General features: G+C 36.7%; 1 protein-coding gene and 1 long non-coding RNA gene across 6 annotated transcripts in view; one reads left to right on the top strand and one right to left on the bottom strand.

Annotated features, from left to right (window-relative positions):
- The window catches only part of CAVIN2-AS1 (CAVIN2 and TMEFF2 antisense RNA 1), a 217,342-nt gene extending 190,913 nt beyond the window's left edge, over nt 1-26,429 (top strand). Inside the window, exons 3-4 of the long non-coding RNA NR_187184.1 lie at nt 6,257-9,017; nt 11,320-26,429. This is a non-coding gene — a long non-coding RNA (CAVIN2 and TMEFF2 antisense RNA 1). The remainder of the gene's footprint in view (nt 1-6,256; nt 9,018-11,319) is intronic.
- TMEFF2 (transmembrane protein with EGF like and two follistatin like domains 2) overlaps nt 1-27,567 on the bottom strand; it is a 245,888-nt gene that overhangs the window by 88,355 nt on the left and 129,966 nt on the right. For all 5 annotated transcript variants that reach the window (XM_011510890.4, XM_017003739.3, NM_016192.4 and 2 more), the window contains one exon: nt 20,279-20,375. In XM_011510890.4, coding sequence (XP_011509192.1) covers nt 20,279-20,375 — 97 coding nt within the window. The remainder of the gene's footprint in view (nt 1-20,278; nt 20,376-27,567) is intronic.

Here is a 27,567-nt window from a genome sequence, read left to right on the forward strand (position 1 = left end):
GAACCTCAGTGAGGTTCTATTTCCTTAGAAATAGAAGGAATTTCTAAGGCAGGTCCTTCTGCCTTAGAAGGAAAGGCAGGTCCACGATATGGAAAGACCCTTGGCCCCTGCAGGACCTTGTATTAGGCTGCCTGATTGGCACCATCTTCTCTGACCTATGATGAGAGTAACAAGTGTGTGTGTGTGTGTGTGTGTTTGTGCGTGTGTGAGAGAGAAAGAGAGAGAGGAGAGAAAGAGAGAGAAAGAGAGAGAGAGAGAGAGAGAGAGAGAGACCTCTGAGAATTTGGCACTTATCTGTTATAGCATTTGATATTGCTTACCCTATCATACATGGCAACAAAATCTTCCATCATTTGGCTACATGCACTTTTCTAACTCTTCAAGTACTATACACATTCTCAACCATAAACTGTTCTTTCTTTTGAAAGGACAGTTTTTCTGTCTTAATTCTACCTTGACTTCTATCCTATAGCATTCTGCAGTGAAAAGGACATGGACCTTGGAATTAAATTTGAGATTGAACTCAAGATCCACCTCAACCTACCAACATATATTCGGCATGTTACCCACCTCTCTGAACCTTGCTTTCCTTCTTTGTACAGATGGAGGAAAGTCACGACTAACCATTCTGTTGTGAAAGATTAAATAAGATGGTGCACATGACTTCATATATGTTCATTAATACATTTCTTTCTGTTTCTTCAAGAAACTTCTTTCCCTTCTTTACACATGTAAAAGTCCTTTGAGTCTTACAAGTTCTTCACTATGCCCCAGGTTTTCTAGAGCACATTTGGAAAGAATGTTGACAGAACAGGTAAGAGTACGACCTCTGGGTTCAAATTTTGGCTTTGACCTTTAAGAGCTAAGTAAACTTAGACAAGTTATTTAACACCTTTGTACCTCAAGTTCATCATCTTTAAAACTGGAATACTAATAGTACATAACTTGTACTGCTCTTTTGAAGGTTCAATGAGTTAAGGAATGCAAAGTCCTTAGAAGAGTGTAGTGCACAAAGTAAGCACTACAACAATAATACTTAGTTGTTATTTTAAATTTTTTTTTTAAACCTTTCAAACCTAACCATCCCAACTCCTACTGACACTGCTCTTTTCTTTCTTTTTTTATTTATTTTTTTGAGGTGGGGTCTCACTCTGTTCTTAGCTCACTGCAGCCTCTGCCTTCCCCAGCTCAAGTGATCCTCCCACCTCAGCTTCCAGAGTAGCTGGGACTACAGATGTCCACCACCATGCCTGGCTAGGTGTTTTTGTAGATACAGGGTTTCACCATGTAGCCCAGGCTGGTCTAGAACTCCTGGACTGAGCAATCTACCTGCCTCGGCCTCCCAAGATACTGGGATTACAGACTCGTGAGACACCCTGCCCAGCCTCCTCTTTCTATACTTAAGATACTTGTTGTACCCATTGTATTGTTTTCCTTTTAAAAAGAAAGCCTTCCTGACAAGTAACTTTGCAAGCTACAGTTTTTAATATCCACACTGTTCTATATCAACCCTTCTAGCCAATGTTATAGGCAGCAAAAATAGAATTTAACTAAATTACATTTAAAAAAATGCAAGCCTATGGCCCTCATGCACTCTACTTTATTGCCATGTGGTTTTTGGTCCTTAATGCAAAGATATTTCCCGCCCCCCCCATCTAACTTAACATTATAGTAGAAGACTTTAATTTGAAATGGTGTCTTGGTTTAGGGCAAACAAAAATTGAGGAAAAGACAGGCAATAGACGAATAACTGGGTTAAAGTTTTCAGCAGCCTGATTATACTAATGAAGGACTACAAGTCCTATTGTGAGGATTTATAGGAAAAAAAGGCAAATATAACTAGAAAATTATTGGTTATTTATCAATTCTATGAATAAAAAAAGAAAGAACAGAATTGGTAGTAGGAAGTCTTATAAGTAAATTTATCTCAAAGTCAGATTGGATGTTCTAAACCCATAATTATAATTGCTAGGCCCAAAATTGGATATGTTGCTATTGCTTTGTACATTTTTCTCTTTGCTTCTCATTTGTGTTTTTAATCAATTAATTACAATTAAAGCAAGGATATTTATCATAAAACTTTGATCAGACCAATGTTTTCCAATCTGTGCAACTTATATAACAGCAATTTCTTTTATTCTTAGTAGTAAAATAAAATATTTACAGAAAAATAAACTATGTTGGGAAATGGTACTTCATTGCCACAAACCAAGTCATCTAATTTCCCAACTGTTCATAAAGTAGTTTTGAATAAATCGGAGAATGGTTCAGGAAACACTATCCTAGGACCATCTCAGGACACCAGGCATTCATTCTTATTCTGCCATATGAACAAGTGATTTATTGCTCAATAACTACTTAGTTTTGCTGTCTGTGAATGTGAATTATAATTTTAAAGATTCACATTAGATATTTTAGAGATGCTTCCTAATCTCTGGCTGAGATTATTGATAATTGAAAGGAGACTAAGGAATACAGTGGCCATGTATTCCTCATGTTTTACTCCTGTACTGGCTCATATAACTATAACAATGATATGCCTGGATACCAGTATTCAAGTTTTAACAAAGAATCACCTACAATTTTACAAGTTTATCAGTAATAAATTATATTAAGTTCCAATATAAATAATTTTATGTAATTTATAAGCTAGTAATCAAAGATAGTGTCATTTATTTTATTCAAAATCATATTAAATGTACACAGTATACATTTTTGTAGAATTCAGAACTGGTAAAAGTATTTCTTGATGAACTAGTTGTCTTTTCTAACTACACCATAAGAGTTATTTCTTTTCTTTCTCACCTTGAATTCAGAGCACTCAGAGATAAGCCTTTTGATTAATAGTAGCAGCTTCTCTTAGCCTTGGTTTTCCTTTAAATCTATTATTTCTATCCTGCCTTTTACATTCTTCCTTCTCCTCAACATTGTCTTTTTATTCAACTCGAATTTTCTCTCTTATTTAAGTATCTTCATTATATGTTTACCTTTTGTCATAGCTGCTTCAAATCCTTTGAAGAGCTTCCTATTTTCTGTGCTTTCTAAAGAGGTGACTAGCTAATATGAAAAACTTGTTTCTGTTAATGTATAAGGATTAAAATATAAAGTGGGAAGTCTTGCCTTCTGGACATGATAGATTATCTTCTCAAATTTAAAAGTCACTCTGGAAATTTTAGGCCAAAAAGAAAGAGAAAAAAATGCCACTAGGACCACTGGGGACGCTTTGGGGGTAGTTCTTTAGAGCTCACAGTAGTTCTTCTGCTATGATAGATGATGTTAGAGCCCAAAGAAACCATAGAAACCTTATAGAGCAACACCCTCATTTCCTGAATTTTACATATGAGAAAATGAAGTCCAGTTGTAGCATAAGAATAGATACATAGATCACCGGAATAGAATGAGACTAGAGAAATAAATCTTTGTATACAGGGTCAATTGATTTCAATAAGGGTGTCCAAAAAATTTGATGATGAAAGGCTAGTCTTTTCAACAAATGGTGTAGAAACAACTGGATATCTACATGTAACAAATGAATTTGGACCCCTTCCTCACTCCATCTGCAAAAAATACCACAAAATGGATCACAGACCTAAATATAGAGCTAAAACTATAAATCCCTTAGAAGAAAATATTGGAATAAATATTTGCTCCCTTGGGTTGAGCAAAACCTTCTTAGATATAACAACAAACACAAGCAACAACAAAGTAAATTGGAGTTCATCAAAATTAAAAAGTTTGTGTTTCAAAGGATACGGTCAAGAGAGTGAAAGGCAATTCCACAAAATAGAGAAACTACCTGCAAACCATATATCTGCCAGGGAACTTATATTTAGATTATATATATTTTTAAAACTCTTACAGCTCAATAACAAATAGACAAATCGCTGAATTTAAGAATAGACAAATGATCTGAATGGATATTTCTTCTAAAAAGATAAACAAATGTTCAATATACAAATAAAAAGAGACCAACACCATTAGACCTGTGAAATGTGAATCAAAACCACAATCAGATACCACTTCATACCAACTAGGATAGTAATAATCAAAAAGACAGATAATTACAAGCATTGGCAAGGATGTGAAGAAGTGTGGACACTCATACGCTGCTGGTGGAATATAAGTGTTGCAGGTACTTTGGAAAATAGTCTGGCCCTTCCTCAAAAAGTTAACCATAAAGTTACCATATGACCTAGCAATTCCACTCCTATGTATATACCCGAGACCTGAAAACATACATTCCCACACAATCTCGTACATAAATGTTCATAACAGCATTATTCATAGTAGTCAAAAAGTAGAAACAACCCAAATGTTCCTCAACTGATGAACAAATAACCCAAATATGGTATATTCATACAGTGGAAATACTTTTCATGCTAGGGAAGCCGTAGAAAAGGAGAGAGATGGGGGATCAGCGGGTCAGTAAAACATATAACGTTTTATCAGTTAAGTTTACTTGTTTTATATGGGTTTGGTTTGGGTGCCCCAAAACAATTACAGTAGTAACATTAAAGATCACTGATCGGCCAGGTGCGGTGGCTCATGCCTGTAATCCCATGGGCTGGGGGAGGTGGATCACCTGAGGTCAGGACTTCAAGACAAGCCTGACCAACATGGTGAAAACCTGTCTCTACTAAAAATACAAAAATTAACTGGGCGTAGTGGCAGGCACCTGTAATCCCAGCTACTTGGGAGGCTGAGGCAGGATAATCACTTAAACTCAGGAGGCGGAGGTTGCAGTGAGCCGAGATCACACCACTGAACTCCAGCCTGGGCAGTAGAGTGAGACTCTGTCTCAAAAAAAAAAAATCACTGATCACAGATCTTCATAACAGAAATATTTGAGAAAGTTTGAAATATTGTGAGAATTGCCAAAATATGACATAGAGACATGAATTGAGTACATGCTGTTGGAAAAAATGTGCTGGTAGGCTTGCTTCACGTGGTGTTGTCACACACTTTTAATTTATGAAAAATACATTATCTTTGAAGTGCAGTAAAGCAAAGCACACTAAAATGAGGTATGCCTGTACTGAACTCAAGTTCCAGCGGGCACCTAAAAGTGTGATAGGAAGTGAAATCCGTGAAGAGGTGTGCTACACTCCAAAAGAACTACCTAAGTTCCTAACTTATACAAAAATCCCAAAAACATGTGTAGGAATGGACACTAGGGTATGGGATAATGGTGAAAAGAATATGAAGTTATGAATCAGGCTGAATTTATTGATATGAGCTCACTTGGCAGATATTTAATATTGCATTTAATATTGCAACTTGGGGAATTTGAAAGAGCTCTGGCAGTTTGGTTGCTTGGTTGACTGAAACATGGAGCAAAAGGTGGTCCACAGTGAGCGAATTAGAAATGCTAGGCATGCCTCAGTTTAACACAGAGAAAGAGGTTCAAAGGCTTAGAGAGACTGGAATGCTAGAGTCAATTTGTCATTTAAGACCTACTCACACACACCAAAAGGGTCCAGAAGATGTACCTTCTACCCATATTGTTAGAAACAGATTGTGAGGAGAGCCACAACATCCTTGAAGAGCTCTAGGACCACTCTTCTCTGCAGGCCAGAACTTAAATGGGAATAGCAGTTACTGACTTGGGAAATCTAAATGCAATTGGAGTAATTGGGTCTCAGGGCAGCAGGGGCCAAGTGGCAGTACTCGACTGCCAAAAGCAAGGTCAAAAGCAGCAATCAGAATAGCCAGATTCATGGAGACCTATGGTATTGGCTAGTGTTCCTTGCTAGTGTTTTAGGATCATGGTGTTCCTAAAAGTGAAAAAATAGATGGAAAGCCTACTAAATCTTACTTGATTTGATAAGCAGAAACGTTCTTAAACAAAAGTCTAGCCTACATCATAAAAAAAGAGAGTCATGGTCCCTTAATCAAGTCTCAGACTAGAGCCAGTTTATGGACACAGAACCCTTTGCATAAAGGGGAGGTCAGGTCCCCTTGAGAAAGGGCCCTGGTACAGTGCCAAAAATGTATACTGTTAATCTTTCTCTGAGCCTTCCTCAAAAGGACCTTCAGCTGTTTGCCAGAATAACTGTGCATTGGGAATCAGACCTTTCACGGACTAATGGACACTAGCTCTGAACTGACACTAATTACAAAAGACCCAAAACATCACTGTGGTCCACAGTCAGAGTACAGGCTTATGGAGGTCAGGTGATCAGTGAAGCTTTAGCTCAGTTCCATCTCACAGTGGATCCAGTGGGTCCCTGAACCTACACTGTGTTTCTTTCCTCAGATCTGGAATGTATAATTGGAGTAGACATTCTCAGCAGCTGGCGGAAACCCCGCATTGGTTCCATGACATGTGGAATGAAGGCTACGATGGTAGGAAAAGATAAGTGGAAGCTGCTAAAACTGCATTTACCTTGAAAAATATTAAACACAAAGAAACACTACATTCCTGGAAAGACTGCACCATCAAGGACTTGAAAGACTCAGGGACGGGGTGATTCTTATGTTCTCACTCAACTTGCCTGTGCGGGAGTCAGATGAATCTTGGAGAATGACAGTGGATTATTATAAGCTTAACTAGGTGATGACTCCAATTGCAGCTGCTGTACTGGATGTGGTTTCATTGCTCGAGCAAGTTAATACATCCCCTGGTACCTAGTATGCAGCTATTGATCTAGCAAATGCCTTTTTCTCCTTACCTCTCAATAAGAACAACCAGAATCAGTTTGCTTTTAGCTAGTAAGGTCAGCAATATAGCTTCACTGTGCTGCATCAGGGGTATGTTAATTCTCTACCACTATGTCATAATTTAGTTTGCAGGAATCTTTATCACCTTTCCCTTCCAAAAGATATCACACTAGTCTATTACACTGGTGACATGATGCTGATTTGACGTAGTGAGCAAGAAGTAGCAACTACTCTATAGTTATTGGTAAGACATTTGCATGTCAGAGAATGAATTTTCAAGAAAATTCAGTGAAATTTCTAGGGGTCAGTATGTGGAGCATGTGAGATATTACTTCTAAGGTAAAGGATAAGTTGATGTATTTGCCTCACCTTCAACCATAAAAGAGGAACAATGCCTAGTGGGCCTCTTTGGATTCTGGAGGCAACATACTCCTTATTTGAGTGTGTTACTCTAGTCCATTTACTGAGTAAACTGCTTTTCACTAGTTTTCAGTGAGGCCCAGAACAAGAAGAGACTCTGCAACAAGTCTAGGCTGCTGTGCAAGCTGCTCTGTCACTTGGGCCTTATGATCCGGTAGATCCAATGGTGCTTGAAGTGTCAGTGGTAGACAGGGATGCTGTCTGGAGCCTTTGATGGGCCCCCTATTGGTGAATCACAGTGCGGATCCTTAGGATTTTGGAACAAAGCCCTGATATCTTCTGTGGATAACTACTCTCCTTTTGAGAAACAGTTCTTAGTTTGCTACTGGGCCTTAGTAGAGACTTAATACTTAACTATGCACTACTAAGTTACTATTTGACCTGAGCTTCCCACCATGAACTGAGTGTTGTCTTACTCGCAAAGCCATGAAGTTGGGCATGCACAGCAGCACTCCATCATCAAATGGAAGTACTTTGTATGAGATTAGGTCAAATCAGGCTCTTGGCACAAGTAAGTTACATGAAAAGAAGGGGCCTAATTGTCATGGCACCCACTCCTATTACAGGACCTTCTCTCTCCCGCCTGCTTCTGTGGCCTCACAGGGGAGCTCCTTGTGATCAGTTGATAGAGGAAAAAAGACTCAGGCCTGATTTACAGAAGATTCTGCATGATATACAGCTACCACCTGAAAGTGGGCAGCTGCAGAACTGCAGACCTTCTCTGAAACATTCCTCAAGGACAATGGTGAAGAAAAATCCTTCCAGTAGGCAGAACTTCAAGCAGTGCACCTGATTGTTCACTTTGCTTGGGAGAAAAGGTAGGACATGTGACTGTACACTGATTCATGGACTGTGGCCAATGGTTTGGTAGATGGTCAAGGACTTGAAAGGAACATGACTGGAATATTGGTGAGAAGGAAATTTGGGGAAGAAGTATGTGGATAGATCTCTCTCAATGGGCAAAAAACCATGAAGATATTTGTGTCCCATGTAAATATTTACAAAAGGATAACCTCAGCAGAGGAAGACTGTAATAATAAAGTGGATAGAATAGCCCATTCTGTAGCTACCACTCAGCTTCTTTCTCCAGCCAACCCTGTTCATTGCCCAATGGGCTCATGAACAAAGTGGCCATTGTGGCAAAAAAGGGGGGTTATGCATAGGCTCAGCGACATAGACTCCTACTCACCAAGACCAACCTGGCTACAGCCACCACTGAGTTCTTAATCTGCTAGAAGCAGAAACCAACACCGAGTCCCTAATATGGCACCAATCCTCATGGTGGCCAGCCAGCTCCTGGGTGGCAGGTTGATTATATTGGACTGCTTCCATCATGGAAGAGACAGCAGTTTGTCCTCACTGAAATAGATATTTACACTGGATATACATTTTTCTTCCTGCACACAATGCTTCTCCCAAAACTACCATCCATGGACTTACGGAATGCTTTATCCACCATCTTGGTATTCCACACAGCATTGCTTCTGACTAAGGAACTTACTTCACTGCCAAAGAAGCATGGCAATGGGTATATGCTCATGGAATTCCCTGGTCTTACCATGTTTCCTGCCATCCTATAGCTGCTGGCTTGATAGAGTGGTGGAATGGTTTTTTGAAATCACAGTTGTAATTCCAGCACTTTGGGAGGCTGAGGTGGGTGGATCACCTGAGGTCAGGAGTTCGAGACCAACCTGACTAATATGGTGAAACCCTGTCTCTACTAAAAATACAAAAATTAGCTGGGCATGTGGCATGCACCTGTAGTCCCAGCTACTTGGGAGGCTGAGACAGGAGAATTGCTTGAACCCAGGAGGTGGAGGTTGCAGTGAATCAAGATCATGCCGCTGCACTTCAGCCTGGGTGACGGAGCGAGACACTGTCTCAAAGAAAAAAAAGAAAAAAGAAAAAAGAGAAAGAAATCACAGTTGTAACACCAGGTAGGTGACACTGCTTTCTAGGACTGGTGCAAGGTTCTCCAGAAGGCTGTATGTGCTCTGAATCAGCATTTAATATGTGGTGCTCTGTCTCCCATAGCCAAAATTCATTGGTCCAGAAATCAAGGGGTGGAAATGGAACTGTCACCTTCCACTATTATCTCTAGTGATTCACTAGAAAATTTTTTGCTTCCTATTCCTTTGTTTCTCTGAATAACCCTGATTAATATACCAATATATTGATCAGTGCAGGGCTTCTTTTTCTTTTCTTTCTTCCCCCCAAGTCTGACCACCCAGTGTAGCTGTAATGCAAGCAGTTCTGTTGTGTTTTCTTTTTCCAAAAATCAACATACTTTCTGGGGAAGACAATTTTAATTGAAAGTTAAGTTGCATACTGTAATCAAATATATCATTTTTATTTTTCATCATTATTGATAATTTGATGTTATATTTGAATATCCTAAGTTCCAAATTTATGCAGATACCTGTGTTACCTGTTTTTTTTTTTTTAATTTTTATTTTTTTAGATGGAGTCTTGCTCTGTCACCCAGGCTGGAGTGCAGTGGCGTGATCTTGGCTCACTGCAGCCTCTGCCTCCCAGGTTCAGGCAATTCTCCTGCTTTAGCCTCCCAAGTAGCTGGGACTACAGGCACATGCTGCCATGCCTAGCTAATTTTTTGTATTTTAGTTGAGACAAGGTTTCACCGTGTTGCCCAGGTTGGTCACAAACTCCTGAGCTTGGGCAATCTGCCTGCCTCAGCTTCCCAAAGTGCTTGGATTACAGGCATGAGCCACTGTGCCCGGCCTGCAGATACCTATGTTTATTACAGAAATACATCACTAATTTTTGCTAATGTGAAGCTAATATTTTATTTTATTTCTTATTTTTGCCTTTTTCCAAACTGTTGTGCACTTCTCCCAGATAAACATCTCCTAATATCTGCTTATTATAAGCCCTTATGGCTTGTTAGAACCTACCATTACTTTTATTACCATGGATAATATAATTTTGATTGTAGAAAGCTCATTTCAGGATGAGCTCAGAGAATACAGTGAACTACTGTGTCAAAGACTTTGAAAGGCTGCAATAAATAAAAGAGAGCTGTGGTAAACAATCTTCAGAAGATCATCTGTCCCAAATGCATTGTCCTGATTTCTTATGTTCCATTCATAGCTTAGTGATAAAAGGATGAATGGACCCACTCTTGATTAATTTTACTTTACATTAGGGGGGCTAGAAAATCAGATATTCGTTTTCATTATTTATTGGCTTTTTTCTGTAATAAGCATTTAGACTTTCAGCAGTATTGATGTTTTGATTGGGTGTTGCATATAATTTTACAATTTGTTCAATCATTTATTAGATATTATATGCCCTGTTTGTAGGGAAATGTGTCTGGAACAGACTGATGTTGGCTGCTGAGGATGGTTCACTGATTTGTAGTTTAGATGAGTCAACACATACAATATATTACTATTTGGAAGTAAACCACAGAAGACCAGCAACAGTTTCTACCCGATTTAATACACCTTTGGGAGGACAGTTTCTCATCTAACAATGCTTATGCCTCAGAAAGCTATTTATTATGAACACTCTGGATACAGACAGTGGAAATGTTTTCAGTTAACATACTGTCTAATCTCTTGGAGTTAAACAAGAAAAATGTTTAACACAGGCTTAGAGGGGATATAGGCTTTGATAATTTTTTAGATCACAAATGTTAGGACAGTACGCTCAAACGAATTTTTTTTTTTTAGAAGTGCTGAAAATTTAGAAAGAATAATCAGAGCTTGGGACACAGAAATTGCATTCCAGTATAAATACATTATTCTTAAATTGGTTTGGCATTCCTAACAATCACCAAATAACTCACCCTCAAGATTAACTAAAAATTTTCAAGATAAGTGGTTTTGTTAATATGTAAAATATTATTAGATTCTCATAAAACACACACACACACACACACACACACACACACACAGAAAATATATCTCCAAATTTCACAATGGTTATCTTAGAGAGGGATGACATTTTCCTAAAGTTTTTGTATTTCTATTTTTTTTTAAATCACTATGATGGAATGTGTGTATTTATATTTAGAAAAAATGTAAAACCCATTTTAATATAACCATCAAAAATATATGTTATATTGGAACATAAGAGGCTTCACATCATATTTTAAGTGCTAAATTAAAAGATACAGCAGGGCATTTAATCTACTAAGATACAGATTAAAATCCACTGTCATATTTATTTTTATTTAATTTGGTGACTCTTCCCTCTTTTTCTATTTCTCATCTCCAGGAATTTCTATTCTTACAGCAGAAATAGACATTTGTAATAAGCTTTGGCTCACAGTCAGGGTTGCCACTGCCACTGCAAAACAGGCAAATTGAATTGAAGCAGCTAAAAAAACCTCAGGTTTTGGTGAAGGTATGTCTCTTCTATGCAACCTTAAGTCTAGTAACATTCTCATCTGATTGGATGCATGCATAACCATGATAAGAATAATTCAATACCTCTGTGAAAAACAAACAAATGAAAACTACACAGTCTTGAAGGGGACTACAAAGAAATATATTTTATATACTGAGTGAAAAAGAACTTCAAGGGCATCATACACAATGTAGGTGTGTTAGTGGTGAATTTCATCCCAAACTGCCACTTAAAGTCTTTGTTTTCCCATTAAAACATGTAAAATTCTATCCTGAATATATAAGATAGATACATTTGGTCTATGTGTGTGTGTGTGTGTGTGCATACTCACAATATACACTTATATACACACATAATTTATAAGAGAAGACCCTGAGTGGTAGTTAAGAGCATGGAGTCTGCCTGGCTGGCACAAATTGTGGCTCTCTCACTTGCTGTTTGGGTTTGGGAAGTTTGATTAACCTGTCTGTGCCTCAGTTTTCTGTTTTGTAACATGAGAATTACTAGTGTATTACATTCATAAGACTGTGGTGAGGATTAAATGGCTCTATAAATCTAGACATTTAGGATGGTGTCTGACACGCTTTGGAAAGGTTTGTCACACTTTGATAACTACAATGAGATTCCTATTATTATCTTTGAGACTGGGATGTTACACTGGGACATCGGAACATGGAGCAGGTATTCCCTGAGTGTGGAGACAGGAATCGCTGACTCAGAATATGCTAGAAACTGAGACATGAAAACTCAAGAAGAAATAGAGAGTGAGTTTAATGAGTGAGCACCAAAAGTTAGGCAACCTACCATTAACAGGGTGTGGCCTGCAACAAGATTTCAAAAGCAAGCAAAGATTTAAAAAGCAAGTAAAGGCCAGGTGCGATGGCTTATACCTGTAATCCCAGCACTTTGGGAGGCTGAGGCGGGAGGATCACAAGGTCAGGAGATTGAGACCATCCTGGCTAACACGATGAAACCCCATCTCTACTAAAAATACAAAAAATTAGCCGGGCGTGGTGGCGACCGCCTGTAGTCCCAGCTACCCGGGAGGCTGAGGCAGGGGAATGGTGTGAACCTGGAAGGCGGAGCTTGCAGTGAGCTGAGATAGCGCCACTGCACTCCAGCCTGGGCCACAGGGTGAGACTCCATCTCAAACAAACAAACAAAAAAAGCAAGTAAAAAGAGAAACAAGTAATGAAAACTGTTAAGTTAGTGGTAGAAATACAATCTGTACTTAGGAGTTTTGTTTCCTTTGTTCTGTTGCCATGCAGTATTTTATGATTTTGATATAAAATAGAAATTACATGATTTAAACTGCATGGCCTAATAAATATTGTAAAAACAAATAAAACACATTGAAGTTCAGAATTCTTTATCCCCATATTTCTTGGTATTCTACACCAGATCTGGGTTTGTAGCTGTCATAACCTAATTAAGTTTCATTAATCACTGTGATAGCTAGTACAGTTGAGGTATGGATACAGAGAAGAATTTAAAAGATTCTCTAGAATTTATGTGAAAACCCATTTTTTTAAATAAAAAAGGTAGGCTAGCATCACAGAAGACTCAAGGTTTTAAAGACTATTGTTTATTTTTATTTTTCAATTTTTTTTATTTTTTACTTTCATAACCCTCCTTTTTCTGGAGGGGTGGTTAGTTGTTGTTGGTGGTTGTTATTATTTGACTATTGCATATTAGAAGTGTCATTGTTATTCATTTGTCTTCCTGAGTAACATTTGAAGCTTTTAACTTCAGTTTGCAGGTTGGATTACCGGCAGCTACTGCAGAGAGAAGTTTGGATTGCAAATATGGCATTTGTTGACCCTGGGCATTGTTTAATGCCCTGTATAGACCATCGTACAGACCATGTCAGAATTCCTAGTCTTTTACTTCTAAATTTTATTACATCGTGTGAAATTTAGAAAAATATAAGCTGTTTATTTTCTTGATCAAGATAGGTGAAGAAATACAGAAAAGAAAGAAATAATGAAAGCAAACCCCAACTTTCAGATTTGGACACACCTTTGCTAAAAACTATCAACATTTTCCCCTTGAAATTCTGAGTGGAAAGATATGTGCTTCCCTAAGTCAGGAGCTGTATGTGCACTCCCCACCCCGAAACATTTTTTGGGCAAATGGAATCATTAAAGGAATGAGAGGTATCTACTCTTCAGTTCCCACTCATTGACACAAACAGAAAACGCTACTGCAGCTTTCAGAGGTGACAGCTACTGTCTTCAAGGTGGAGATAAGAGGTAAATGGAGGGAGGTCATACCTCAACTCCAGGAATCTTGAAACTAAAATGTTTTCTCAAAAAGCCATGCACACATTCAAAAAAAACCTTGGATTTTCTAGAGCAGATCTATTATCTTTTTTCTGGGTTTTTTTTTTTCATTGTCTCCATGAGTAAACTTATATTAGAAACCACACCTAAAATTGGTTACCAGTTACACTTCTGGGGCCAGAAAGCAAAGGAAATTAATAAAAGGGAAACACCCTAGGGAGAAACTGAATGAACTCTTAGATGGCTAAAATTTTGTGACTAATCAGCATCCTCTTTAAATGTACCATATCCAAGTCTGACCTTTTTACTTAGTAGAAAAACAATACAAAGATTGCAGTTTCCATTTTAAATACAATCTTTTTGTTCAATTGTCAACCAGGAGTGGTTTTAAATAAAACCACTTTCTGTATTTTCCTCAGAGGTGTCTTAATTTTCCCTATCAAACTCACAAACCAAAGGTACTAAAGTCAGCAAGACCTAATGTCTAATTTACTTATACCTATGATGAAATCTAGTGCCAAGGATCATCCATGGCCATTGCCCCACTTCAAATATTCATGAGCCTCCACAATCCAAAATGCATTAAATGTGGGCAGGTTGCCAATAACACACAATCTTCCTAATGACAGGGAGCTTTCTCAGATCAAAGGAGCAAGATGTTAAAGACTTCAAACTAAACTGTCTTTGTAAGAGACACCCAGAAAAGAAATGCCAGATCCCACACCCTGTTTCAGTTATGAAACATCAATGAAATAGAGAAAATAATAAACATTCATTCATTCCTCTTTGGAACTCATTTTTTTGCAACAACTTTGCTTCTTTCCTTTCTTACCATTGCACTCAAACACTAAGGATGTTATACACTAAAACTGGAAAATATTATTAATGCTTTCAAAGACAAAATGACTACTAAGGAGTTAATAGCATTTATGCCAATATGATATCGCTAATGGAGCCTGAGTGGCATGTAGAGAATACTACAAAAGCAAAGTTAAAACAGGGATAAAGAGCTATGAAGAATACATATAAAGCAAATATACCTAATAATTTAAGTTGTCCCTTTATGTCATTTGTCATCTGGCTGCATCTGCTCTTAAACCTGTGCACCTGTGCTCTGTTCCTGGAAATATTAGGCATGCAGCCAATTTCATACCCAGCCATTCCTATGGTCAGACCCAGCTATCAGTGCTTTTGTATGTATATGTATATTAAATCAAGTATCAACCCCCGGGCTCTGAACTACTTCTGACTGACAGAACCAACAGAAAGTTCCAGGCTAATTACTTCTAAGGAATAGTTCCCAGAGAAAAGAGTTTCCACTGACCTACTTTGGACTTACTGAGATAATTTATCAGGTAAGATAATTAAGGGAATATAAGGCTGTTTCTAAAGTGAAATCAGAAATATTTGCTGAAATCATAAGTTGGTATTCCCAATGCTATCAGATGGAGCTTTATTACTTTGCAATGAGTCAATTTTATTATATTTGACTTATTTATAAGCCATTCTTCTTCTTTATAAATTATATTTGGCAGGGTGTATTTGAGAATCCCTTTTATGTATAAATGTATTAGTTTTGACTGTTTTCAGTCTGGATATAAAGAGAAATGATATTTTAATCCCTTTCTTCTTCTCTTAACCCCTTCCCCATAAACAGGCACACACATCCCTTCACACAGGTGTTTCAGTTACTTTCGAAGTCCATCCTTAATGAAAGATACCTCTATTATGAGAATGGATGTACTGGCGTGTGAATAACTTGTCCTGTTGAATTTTAACCCTCTTTTGGAAGCTTAATCCTTTCCTACATTTAAGTTAATATCTATAACTGAAAAAGTATTTTGTAGCAATGGTCTTCCTTTCCTATTGAGAGAACCTAAAATTTTCTGATTTTTTACAGCCTTGATGTTCTCCATGTAAGGAAAATGCAAGAGAAAAACCTTGAAATGAAATCATAGAACATAAACTACGGTCTTAGATTAGATTACAAGCCATCTGTTTTCTCAAAATAAAAGCATTAAAATGTTATGTCATTAGTATCATAGTTTGTCAATGCCATCTAATTATTATTTTTTCTCTTCTTCTTTTATTCTCCTTCTCTTTCCCCTATTTATTAATTTTTTTATTCCCATCTCCAGTGTGACTTTCTTCTGAACTCAAAAACTCATCTAACTATGAAAACATGATCAGCTAACTGTGTACTGACTTTTTTATTCTAATAAAGATTTATCTTCATCTTGAAAGTACTTAAGAATGTTTGAATAACTAGATTTAACCCAGTGGGAAAATGCAAAATATTAACTTATTAGGCCAGGGTTAAAGAAAGATCAGGAATTAATTTTTCACCTTAGTTTCAGTATTGTGGATATAGTAAGAACATTATTTCACGTCAGCAGTTATTCACATCTTGTTATTATTTCATAATGCAGGATTGAGGAAATCTGTACACATAAAATTATAGTTTAGTTAGTGTTAAAGGCAAAATAAAACAATAAGTTGTACTCTTTGTTGCCACTTATCATATGTAGTATTTTATGTTTGAGAGAACCTGGCCGTGGTGTCATCCAAAATCAATAGCGTATCAACGCTCCCTTGATTTAGTGAAGGTTCTGTTGCCTAGTACTATAGTCAGATCACTCCGCTATTGCTTCCTATCTTACTTTACAGCCTCTTTCATTCTATGCCTATTTAATTTCACTCATTGCTTTATTCCTGTGTCCTTCAGCTGTTTCCAATCTGCCCTTCATGGCCATGACTAAATACAATATGTTAACATACAAAGGTACGTTAACATACAAGGTATGTAAATGAAAATCAATGCACTTGTCATTTCAGCACAATTCCTTATTGCTTACATTCAACATTTTAAATACATTTTATTTAAACACTAATAACTTTTGTTCTTGTCTTGGAAGTCTAATGATCTTCTTGGCTCCCTGCCCCTACAGCCCTCTAATCTTCACAGCCGTGGCCACTTAGCCCCCATCTGGAGGTTCAGGCTTATTCTGCATCTTGGAGCTAATCTTGTCCCTATGCTGGGGGCATACAAGATATCATAGCCAAGAGCTAACTGATTTAGCACTCAGCTTTGCTGCTGGTTTCATTCTGATCTTGTAATTTATTTCTCAGATGTAGGCTATGCTTCTCCCAGCAACTTGTAACCAAGGCTTGGCTTTGTATACCAGTTGCAATATCTATCCAGGCTTTCCTGTTTCAGTTCTTGACGAGTTTTTCTGATTGACACCAATTTCTCCATGACTAAGGTTCTCCTTTGTCCTTCTCCTTGTCTCATTTGTAACTGAATTTATTTTCTGAAGTACAGTTGCCATGGCTGGGCCCTGTAGACAATTGCTAAGCCTTTCTGGTGCCACTATCCTTGCCCATATCTTTTCATACTGCCTTCATACCATGGATCTGAACTTTTGCAAGAATACCAGGATTAACCCCCTGCTTGCCTGGATGTTTTCCCACTTCCAGCTGCAAACATCTACCTAGACCAGCTCTAACCTTGCAGGCCTTGGAGAGTCACTGCAAATATGCTGCCTGCAATCTGGCCATCTCATTGTCTAGACATGACAGCAAAGACATATTGTTTCAATTGCATCTTTGGTTGAATTGTTATGCTAACAACCTTTAGTTACTTTCACCTCGTATCTTCATCTTGGTCCTGCCACTTTAACACTTTAAAACTCAGTTTTCTCTTTTTAGAGTAAAATAATAATGGAATCTACCTCCTATGGCTATTTTGAAGATAGCTGAGAAAAAAAAACAGTATACAAATGGATAAAACCCATAGTAAACAACCAATAATTTTCAGCTGCTCTTAAAAGCTCATGTCTTAAATGTCTTGGAGAATGGAGCTATACCACTTAAAGAATAATCATTAAAAAGATAAGGAACTAGGAAAATTAAAATTCTTAAAAAAAAGAGACTCATGTACATTTTTTAAAAAGTGAAACAATTTATAAGAAAACAGCTTGAAAAAATGATGCTGAAATACAGATGCAGTCACCAATAAACGTTAGAAACGAAATATTTTAAGGATACATTTCCTATTTGTGTGTCTTGATCTTATGACTACAGAAGAGCCCTAAAGCATTTAGGAAGGAGAAAGAGTCTTTGAATTAGTCATTTATTTTAGAGTAGTATTTCCATAATCCCCTGGGGGTCTTGTAGAAAAGTAAAATTTTGAGTCCCACTTCTCTGAAATTCTGATTCATTAATTTTGGGGCAGAACTAAATAACTGGTATGTTTAAAAAAATTCTCAAAGTACTTCTGGCAATCTCTCAGTTTTGGGAACCACAAATTCATCAGCCATTAAGGTCCCTAGGATGTTTTTTAAAAACCATACATTTGTTGGCTGGGCGTGGTAGCTCACACCTGTAATTCCAGCACTTTGGGAGGCCGAGGCGGGCAAATCACCTGAGGTGAGGAGTTTGAGACCAGCCTGGCCAATATGATGAAACCCCATCTCTACTAAAAATACAAAAATTAGCCGGGCATGGTGGTGCGCACCTGTAATCCCAGCTACTCAGGAGGCTGAGACAGAAGAATCTCTTGAACCCGGGAGGCGGAGGTTGCAGTGAGTTGAGATCGTGCCACTGCACTCTAGCCTGGGCGACAGAGTGAGACTCCATCTCAAAAAAAAAAAAAAAAAAAAAAAAAGAAGCGAGACTCTGTCTCAATAAAAAACAAAAAACATACATTTGTTTACCTCAAGATGGTCAAACCAGTGCATAGACTCTCTCACTCGGCTCCTAGCTGCCCATTGGCTAGAAGTGTTTGACAGGCATGAAAACTCTACTGCTGTCTGATTTTAGTAATAGATGTTTATTTCACTTGGCTATTCAAAGGCAGTGTTTACTTGTAAGTACGTAGTTTACCCTAAGAACCACCATTTGCTCAGATAGAATCTTCACTTAAAAAATATTTTAAGTGCAGACTGTTTTACTACTGCCACATAATCTTGTCTTAATTTTTTTTCTTCATTTTCCTTAGATGAATTTTCCCCTCTACTCACAAAAGTTTGATCAAAATGATGGTTAACTGCTCTAGGCAAGCACAGTCTACATACTGCAGAAAATAAAGAGCAGCCAGATGTTTTCCTGAAAGGGGTGAGGTATATGTAAAAAAGAAAAAGAGAGAAATAATAGCAATAATAATAATAGGAAGAAGATGAAGACAAAGGAGAAGGAAAAGAAGAGGAGAAGGGGAAAGACAGGGAGGGAAAGGAGGAGGAGGAGAAGAAGAGGAAGTGGAAGAGGAAGAAGAGGAAGAGGAGGAGGGGAGGAGCAGAAGAGAGAATAGGAGAGGAATAAAAAAAGGCTGCTGCTTTTCATTATCATGACACAAAGAACTCCCTCAGAAGTTTGAGTTATTCACTTTTCAATGTGCTTAAGGTGGGACGAATACAGTAGAAAGCTAAAATGTTGGCACCCATTCAAAATAATAAGTATTATTCATTATCTGATGAACATATCTTTAAAAGAGTAGTTACTCCATCATCTTAGAAGTCAGATTAGCAACTGGTATGATCTGAATGTTGCTGTCCCCCTCCCCAGATTCATATGGTGAAATCCTAACCCCCAAGATGATAGTATTGGGAGGTAGGACCTTTGGGAGGCGATTAGGTTATGGGGGTGAAGCCTTCATGAATGGGATTAGTGCCCTTATAAAACAGGCTCCACAGACCTCCCTTGCCCTTTTTGCCATGTGAAGCTTCAGTAAGAAGAAGGCTATTTTAAGAGAAAGTGAGCTCTTATCAGACACTAAATCTGCCTTGATCTTGGACTTCTCAGCCTTCATAATGGTGAGGAATAAATTTCTTTTGTTTATAAGCTACCCAGTTTATGGTATTTTGTTATAGAAACCCAAACAGACTAAGTCTGATCATCTATTGCTGCCTGATGATGCCTTTTAAAAATCTTGAGATAAAGTCTCACTCTGTGGCCCAGGCTGGAATGCAATGGCATGATCACAGATCACTGTAGCCTTAACCTCCTGTGCTCAAGTGTTCCTCCCTCCTCAGCCTCCTGAGTACCTGGGACTACAGGCTAGTGTGACCATACCCAGCTAATTATTATTATTTTTTTTTATGGAGATGTGGGTCTCACTTTGTGCCCAGGCTGATCTCAAACATCTGGCCTCAAGCGATCCTCCTGCCTTGGCCTCCCAAAGTGCTGGGAGTACAGGCCTGCTGGGAGTACAGGCCTGAGCCATCACACCTGGCTCTGATGATACTTTTTCAAAGATATTCTAGTAAATAAGACTTTTTTTTCCCTCTATATCCTAACATTGACAGTTTTGGGGGGCTTCAATGATATTTTAGTGTGCCTTATCAAGTAATGCCATGGATAGCTGCTTGGCTGGCCCACCTCTTAATCCAGTTCCAGAAATTCCTTGCCCTCATTTTTTTTTTCACTTGGGAACTGAATAAGAAAATAAAAATGCAGACAATGTCTTCTGTTGCAGAATGGTTGATGGTGTTAAAAAGAAATTAATCACTGTCATTATTTTGTCTAAAAGAATAAAAACAGCATATTACCAGACATCCTCGGCATCTTCGTCACATTCTGCACCAAACTGGCAAATATCACAGGTGGATGTCTCCTTTTGACTAGTTTCTCCAGAGCCTTCATGGACTGTAGGACAGAAAAACAGTAAAAGGAATTCAGGTAATTGTGCATTATATCTACAACTCCAGGACAATTCTTTAATTAAAGCTGCTACTTTCCCAATGGACCTGTCTGCTATTGAAGCTTCATAAGAATGTCAAAAGCAACTCTTTTTTTTCCTCCAATTTAAAGACAACTCTAACAATAATATGTTTCCCATTGGTATGTGGTGAACACGTTTGCATTTTGCATGCTAAATAAAACAAAAAGCATGTGAGTTTATTGGATTCATCAAAATTATTTGCCTAATAGACCATATGAAAGAGTTATTTAGTTAAAAGGGAGTTAAATTTTCACCTCTCTGAGGGAGAGATCTACTGTCTATTTTACTGAAACATATTTAGCATTTTCTTATTTCCAGATTATGGACTTTTTCGTTCAAAGAAAGTTTTCATGTATAATTTTTAAAAATTTAGATGAGCATCCCTGATTTATTAGATAATGCCCCCATTTTTCCCCTCAAACTGTTAAGTACTTATAAGAAAAAGTATGTTGATTATAAGTTTTTAGAAAATAGTTTTTAGTTGTTTTTTACTGTCATTTACTGAATCTTACATAAGTATTGCATAGAGCTAATCACAGTGATTCATTGTTAGAGGGTTATGAACATATATTTTATTTTAAAAAAATACATTGAGTCACTGTTTAGTCACTGATAATGATGATTGATATTGGTCCTTTTTTCCTCTAAATTACAAGTGCAAAAATAGGCAATATATCACCTAATTATAAAGTTAGTCTTTCAAAATCAGGATACAACAGTGTAAATTGAGAAAAAATTTCTAGTATTTGAGTACAAGGAATGAGCAACACTTTCAAGGTGAATTACCTGTTTTCCCAGTTAAAAATATATAGTTGAAAGAAAAAGTAGTTTTATTTTAAAATGAAAAATTACAATCAACTAACTACCGCATAGATAATATAATTCCATACACAGATCATATACATTTAAAAACAGATGTTTAAATCAAGGGAACCTTTAAGAAGTGCACTTCTGCAAAAGAACATTTTCAACAGAAAAAGAACATAAGCAATTAATCCCAGCATTAGTTCCTGTCTTTATGAACATTTTAAACAACAAAGACAACTTATTAACATGCACCTTGAACCTGTCAAATCCAATCTTACTTATTTAGTTTTAATATGTTATTTTCTCTTCATTTCTTTTTTGTTTATTGACAAGTTTTTCATACTTATAAAATCAAAGATCTTTAGTTTTCTTTAGTTTACTGCTGTTCAGATGAGTAATTTGATTTACTCAAAAAAGGACAAGAAGACATCCCTAGGAGAGTTATCTGTTTTATAACTCTTCCAAGAAAGGTGGAGGGATTTATTTTTTCTAAAACATTTTTTTCCTGTGCTTGATAGTCAACGCTTACATTTTTAAAACAATATGAATTAAACAGGTCAATTTCAATTGCAAAAGTATTGATGGTATAGTTTTCAATTTGGATGTCTTAAAAAAAAAAAAAGGTGTCCTCCCCAAAAAGAAGAAGGAATTTTAGACTCTGATAAAATAGACAGCACTTATCTTATTATTCACTCTATTACTTTAATATAGGCAAGACCATTAGAGTGGACCATGGGGATAAGAGGGAAGCTGGGGCCTCATCTCAGGGGAGACCGAACAGCTGAGGTCGGTCTCTTTATTACTTTCTGATTATTAATGCAACACAGAAGCTGCTAATGGGAGAAAGCCTTTTAGTGTTAGCAAGATTAGCAACTTCCAGACTAAAGCTTCCCATTACTCAGGAAAGATAAGAACACAATGGCAAGGACCTTAATGAACAGTGATGGCCACTTAGAGACAGCCCCATTTTCTTCAGCAGTTGAGATCTTTGGTAAGGGATTGACTGGAGGTCATCCAGGGATAAATTTTGCTATCTCAGCAGGACTAATAATAATATTTCTACCAGAAGTCATATTACATTTCTATAAAAGGGCAATTATTGGTAAAATGGAGATGTTTGGAAATTCTCTGATAAGGAGAAGTAAATTCAAAAGAAGCAGTAGGAATACCCCCATCAATAAGTATTGTGTGAATAAAGTGCCTTTCTATGAAGTCACCCACAAAGAAATATAAAATAAAGTATTTCCATATTACTGGAAGCATTGGTTTGCACCTTTGTATAACAGTAAACAAACAAATGACTTAATCGGTGCACAACTTTCATTTAACTTTTTATACCAGTGGTTCTTAAATAGGGTCTGATTCAGAGGCTTTCGTGGATCATATTTTTTTTTTTTTAATAAAAATGCCCTGAGATATCCTTGGAGATACTGAATTGGACTTAGTTTGGGGCTTCAATATGCCTATTCTGAATACAGACTATCTCCGAGGAAGAGTCTCTGCCTTAAGCAATACCAAGAAGACTTCATCTGTCCAGAGCATCCTCCTCAGGCATCGTCTAGCACAGGGCTTCTGATGCTTTAAAGTGCACAGGAAGCACCTAGAGGTTTAGTTAAAATGCAGATTCTGATTCATTAGGTGCGAGGTATGGTCTCAGGTTCTGCATTTCTTACAAGTCCCCAGATGCTGCTGCTGTTGGTCCACAGACCACATTTTGAGTAGAAAGAATAGCACTGTGTTTTTCAAACCACAGTTCACAACCTTTTAGCGGGTGGTGAAATTAATGCATCATGACTTGCATTTCTGTAAACATGAAACAGACTATACTAGTCTAGTAAGTACCAGACTCCATCTTATTTAGCAAGTACATGTTTTATTTTATAACACAGCTTTAGTTATACATATGTACGTACATGCAGGGCTGCAATATAAATTGCAATTCTTAGTAAAGGTCACAGTCACAAAAGCTTGAAAACCACTGATTTAGTACATGTTACACTCTCAGTAAATGTGTGCTAAATTGGACTGTTGCTTCTTTCTCTTCTTTCTACATTACCAGTAACAGGAAAGATCAGTGCTTATTTGCATTCATACACTGATTAGGAATAAAATTCATTTATCTTAAAGTATTATCTTAACCATGCATTTATATTGTAAGCTCTTTTATTTTGAGTTGCAAAGTAAGATAATTATTTCCCATTATTTTATAGAAACTTAGGTTTTGGCAAGCGATTGAGGGAAATTTGAGGGGTGAGGGAAATGGAGCTACTGAAAGCACATTATCCCTAATATTCTGCCCTGCCATTAAAATGTATTTAATCATTTTAGGGAGGTTTGGAATCGGAGGGATTATAAGAAATGATTGAGTTACTTCTCTCTCAGATCTCTCTGCCCTGGTAATTTCTTCTGAAGGTTGAATTCCATCACCACCCTGTTCTTCTTGCTGGTCCTACATGATGATGTGCCTGCTGAACCCAGTTCTCACTATCATGCTTCCTGTGACTCTTATAATATTCTTAACCTGTTATACCATTTCTGAAAACAGTGAACTATAATGTTCAAACACATGGGTAAGCATTGTAATTCACTCTGATAAAAATGCAATTAAAATTGACATTCAGTGAAATGAAGTCATCCATCAATATCTGCTGGTTCCCCATTCACAAATTCAGCCAATCTTGAATCAAAATATTCAGAAAAAAAGTACAAAATAATAATGCAGAAATAAAAAATAATAAAAAAATAAAAATAGAGTATAACACATTTTTACACAGCATTTATGTTGTATTAAGTATTACAAGTAATCTAGAGATGATTTAAATTATATGTGAGGATGTGCATAGGATACAGCACTTTATATCATCAGGGACTTGAGCATCCACAGATTTTGGTATACTGTGGGGAGGGCGGGTCCTGGACCCAATCCCCTGAGGAGACTGAGGGATGACCATGCACAGATCTTAAGGGTACCTGATATGGTTTGGATGTTTGTCCTCTACGAATCTCATGTTGAGGTGTAATCCTCAATGTTGGAGGTATGGGTTGGTAGGAAGTGTTTGCATCATGGGGGTGGATCCCTTATGAATGGCTTAGGGCCATACCCTTGGTGATGAGGGAGTTCTCACTCAGTTAGTTCACATGAGATCTGCTTGTTTAAGAGTCTGGGTTTGTTTAAGAGTCTGGAACCTCTTCGTTCTCTCTCTTGCTCCCCGTCTCGCCACATGACACACCTGCTGCCACTATGCATTCTGCCATGAGTAAAAAGCTCCCTGAGGCCTTACTGGAAGCAGATGCCGGCACCATGCTTCTCATACAGCCTGGAGAACCATGAGTCAGAATAAACTTTTTTTCCTTATAAATTATCCAGCCTTAGGTATTCCTTTAGAGCAATGCAAATGGACTAACTCAGTAGCCTTTAATTAGTGTTGAGTGCATATCAAGACACATAGAACAACTCTATCATCCCAGAAAGTTCCCTGGTTACCCTTCCCAGGCATTGCCCTACCACTACCCTGTCTATATATGGGCAGATGTCTGTCACCACAGATTAGTTTTAACTATTCTAGAACATCACATCAGTGGAATAATTCAATATGTAATTTTTGTGTCAAGTTTCTTTCACTCAAAATGATAGCTTTTGAAATTAATTCAGGTAGTTGCATGTATCAATAGTTTATATCTTTTTATTGCTTAGTATTCCATTGAATGATACACTGCAGGTTATTTATTCATTCTCCTGTTGAAGGATATCTGGGTTGTTTTCAGTTACTGACTGGAAATTATAATTGGGTATTTATGAATAAAGCTGCTGTACAAATCCTTGTAAAAGACTTTGTGTACACATATGTTTTGATTTCTCTTGAATAAATAACTAGCAGCAGGATTACTGAATCTTAAGGCAAAAATTATTGTTGGTGGTGGTTTTTAAATTCTCCACCTGCAGGAATGTTTAATATATTTTGGGTACAAATCTGTTGTCAGATATATGTGTTGCAATATTTTTCTCGGTCTATTTTGTTGACAGTGCTAACCTTGCATTCCTGGGAAAAGTCAAACTTGATCTTGGTATATTAACTTTTTAATATATTGCTGGATTTCATTTGCTAATATTTTGTAGAGCATTTTTGTATCTATTTTCTTGAGATATGCTGGCTGTAATTTTCTTTTCTTGTATTTTCCATGCCTGCCCTTCATGAAATGGGCTGAAAATTGTTCCCACGTCTGCTATTTTATGAGAGTTTGTGTCAGAGTAGTATTATTTTTTATTCATAAGTTATAACTCACTAGTGAAACTATCTAGTCCGGGAGTGTTTTTTTTTTTTGTTGTTGTTGTTGCTATTCAATTACAAATTTGATTTCTTTATACAAGGCTATTTCACTTTTTTTATTTTATTGATTTCTGTTCTTTTTATTATATCCTTGTGCTACATACTTAGGACTTAATTTATTATTTTTCTAGTTTCTTAAAATGGAAGTAGAAATGCTTGACTTTATGCCTTGTTTTCTCATATAGGTATTAAAATGTATAAATTGCCTTCTAAAGATTGCTTTAGTTGCATACCACAAATATTGATATGTTGTGTTTTCATGTATTTCTGTTCAAAATATATATTGGAATATCCTTTGAGATTTCTTAGACTCATGAATTATTTAGCAGTGTGTTTTTAACTTCCAAATCTTTGGGGGGTTTTCAAATGTATATTATTTTTATTCATCTTCATTAAATTTAATAGTTTAATTTATCATCATTGTATTATTTAAATACTTTGTTTAATTTAGGTACTTTGAAATGTATTGTAACTTCTTTTATGGCCCAGGATATGTCTATCTTTTTGAGTATTTCATGTGCACCTTAGAAGTTGTAGCTTGCTCTAGTGTGGAATGATTTTCTATTAATGTCAATTAGCTTACATTGATGGTTAGTGTTGTTCAAATCATCCATAACTGTACTGATTTTTATTTAATTGTTTTATCTATTACTGAGAAAATAGTGTTAAAATCTATATTGGTGACAGTAAATTTGCGTCTAGTTCTCTTTTGTTTTGTCAGTTTTTGTCTCATACTTGGGAGCTTTGTATTGGGGGTATAAACTTTCAGTAGTCTTATGTCTTCTTGAATAAGTGATTCTTTTATCATTATGAAATGCCCCATTAAAATCTCTGCTAGCACTATTCAGCTTGAAATCTACTTTATTTTGATATTCATATTGCCTCACCAGCTTAATTTTTTGCTTGATGTTTCCATTATTTTACTTCCAATCCCTTTGTTCCTTAAGTTTAAAATGTGTTTCTTTTAAACGACATACAATTTAGTCTAACTTATAAAAAAAATCTAGTCTGGATTTAATCAGCGTGTTTAGTCCTTTTACTTCAATTATTGACATGTTTAGTTTTAAGCTCACCAACTTGGTATTTGATTCATATTTGACCAATCTTTTGTTTCTCTGTTTCCAATTCTTTTTTGTGTGTAATAAAGTATTCTTAGGTATATGTTTTACCTTATCTCCAATAAATTTTTGGTGGGGAAGTAGTGTTTCTTTGTTATTATGATGGTGGTTGCTTTAAGGATTACAATATGTATCTTTAAATTATTCTATTACTTCATGAAAAATTTACTAACTTTATGACAATATATTTCTAATTATCATATTCCAGTCTTTGCATTCTTATTGTCATGTATTTTATTTCTACCTATGTGATAAAACTCATGTCCTTTTAAAACATTATTTTTACTTTATACAGCCATTCTACTCTTTTGTGTTAATTTCAAAGGCAAAAAGCTAAAGTTTTCTATACTAATGAAGACCCCTGCCAATCGCTACTAAATGATTTGACGTCTGTTCTGTATTTGCCTTAACTTTTCAAGACTTATCTATAGTACCACATTCTCCATGAAAAACACTTTTGGCATATGATGCACAGTAGATTGTATCATTTCCCCCCATTATCTTTCCTCCCTTTCTGATAAAAGGATTATATGTTTCTTGCCATAGCTGCATGACTTGCAGTTCCCTGATATCATCATTAGTTTTCTGACATGCTTTTGCCATTGAAATGTGAGTGGAATTGAGAGAGTTCTTAATAGAAGCTATTAAAAAGCTATCATGTGAATTTCTTCTTTCTTGCTTTTTCCTTCTGTACAAAAAAGACACATTCCAAAATATGGGCTGTTCCTTCAACCAGTTCCAGAAGGAAAAGATACATAGAGCACAGCCACAGTTGACTTTAGTTATCAAAGCAAGGAATATGCCATTGATTCTGTAAGCCTCTGGGATTTTGAGGTCATCTGTAATTTTAGCTTTACCTAATG

This window comes from Homo sapiens, chromosome 2 (assembly GCF_000001405.40).
Source record: "Homo sapiens chromosome 2, GRCh38.p14 Primary Assembly".
In the NCBI taxonomy this organism is placed as follows: domain Eukaryota; kingdom Metazoa; phylum Chordata; class Mammalia; order Primates; family Hominidae; genus Homo; species Homo sapiens.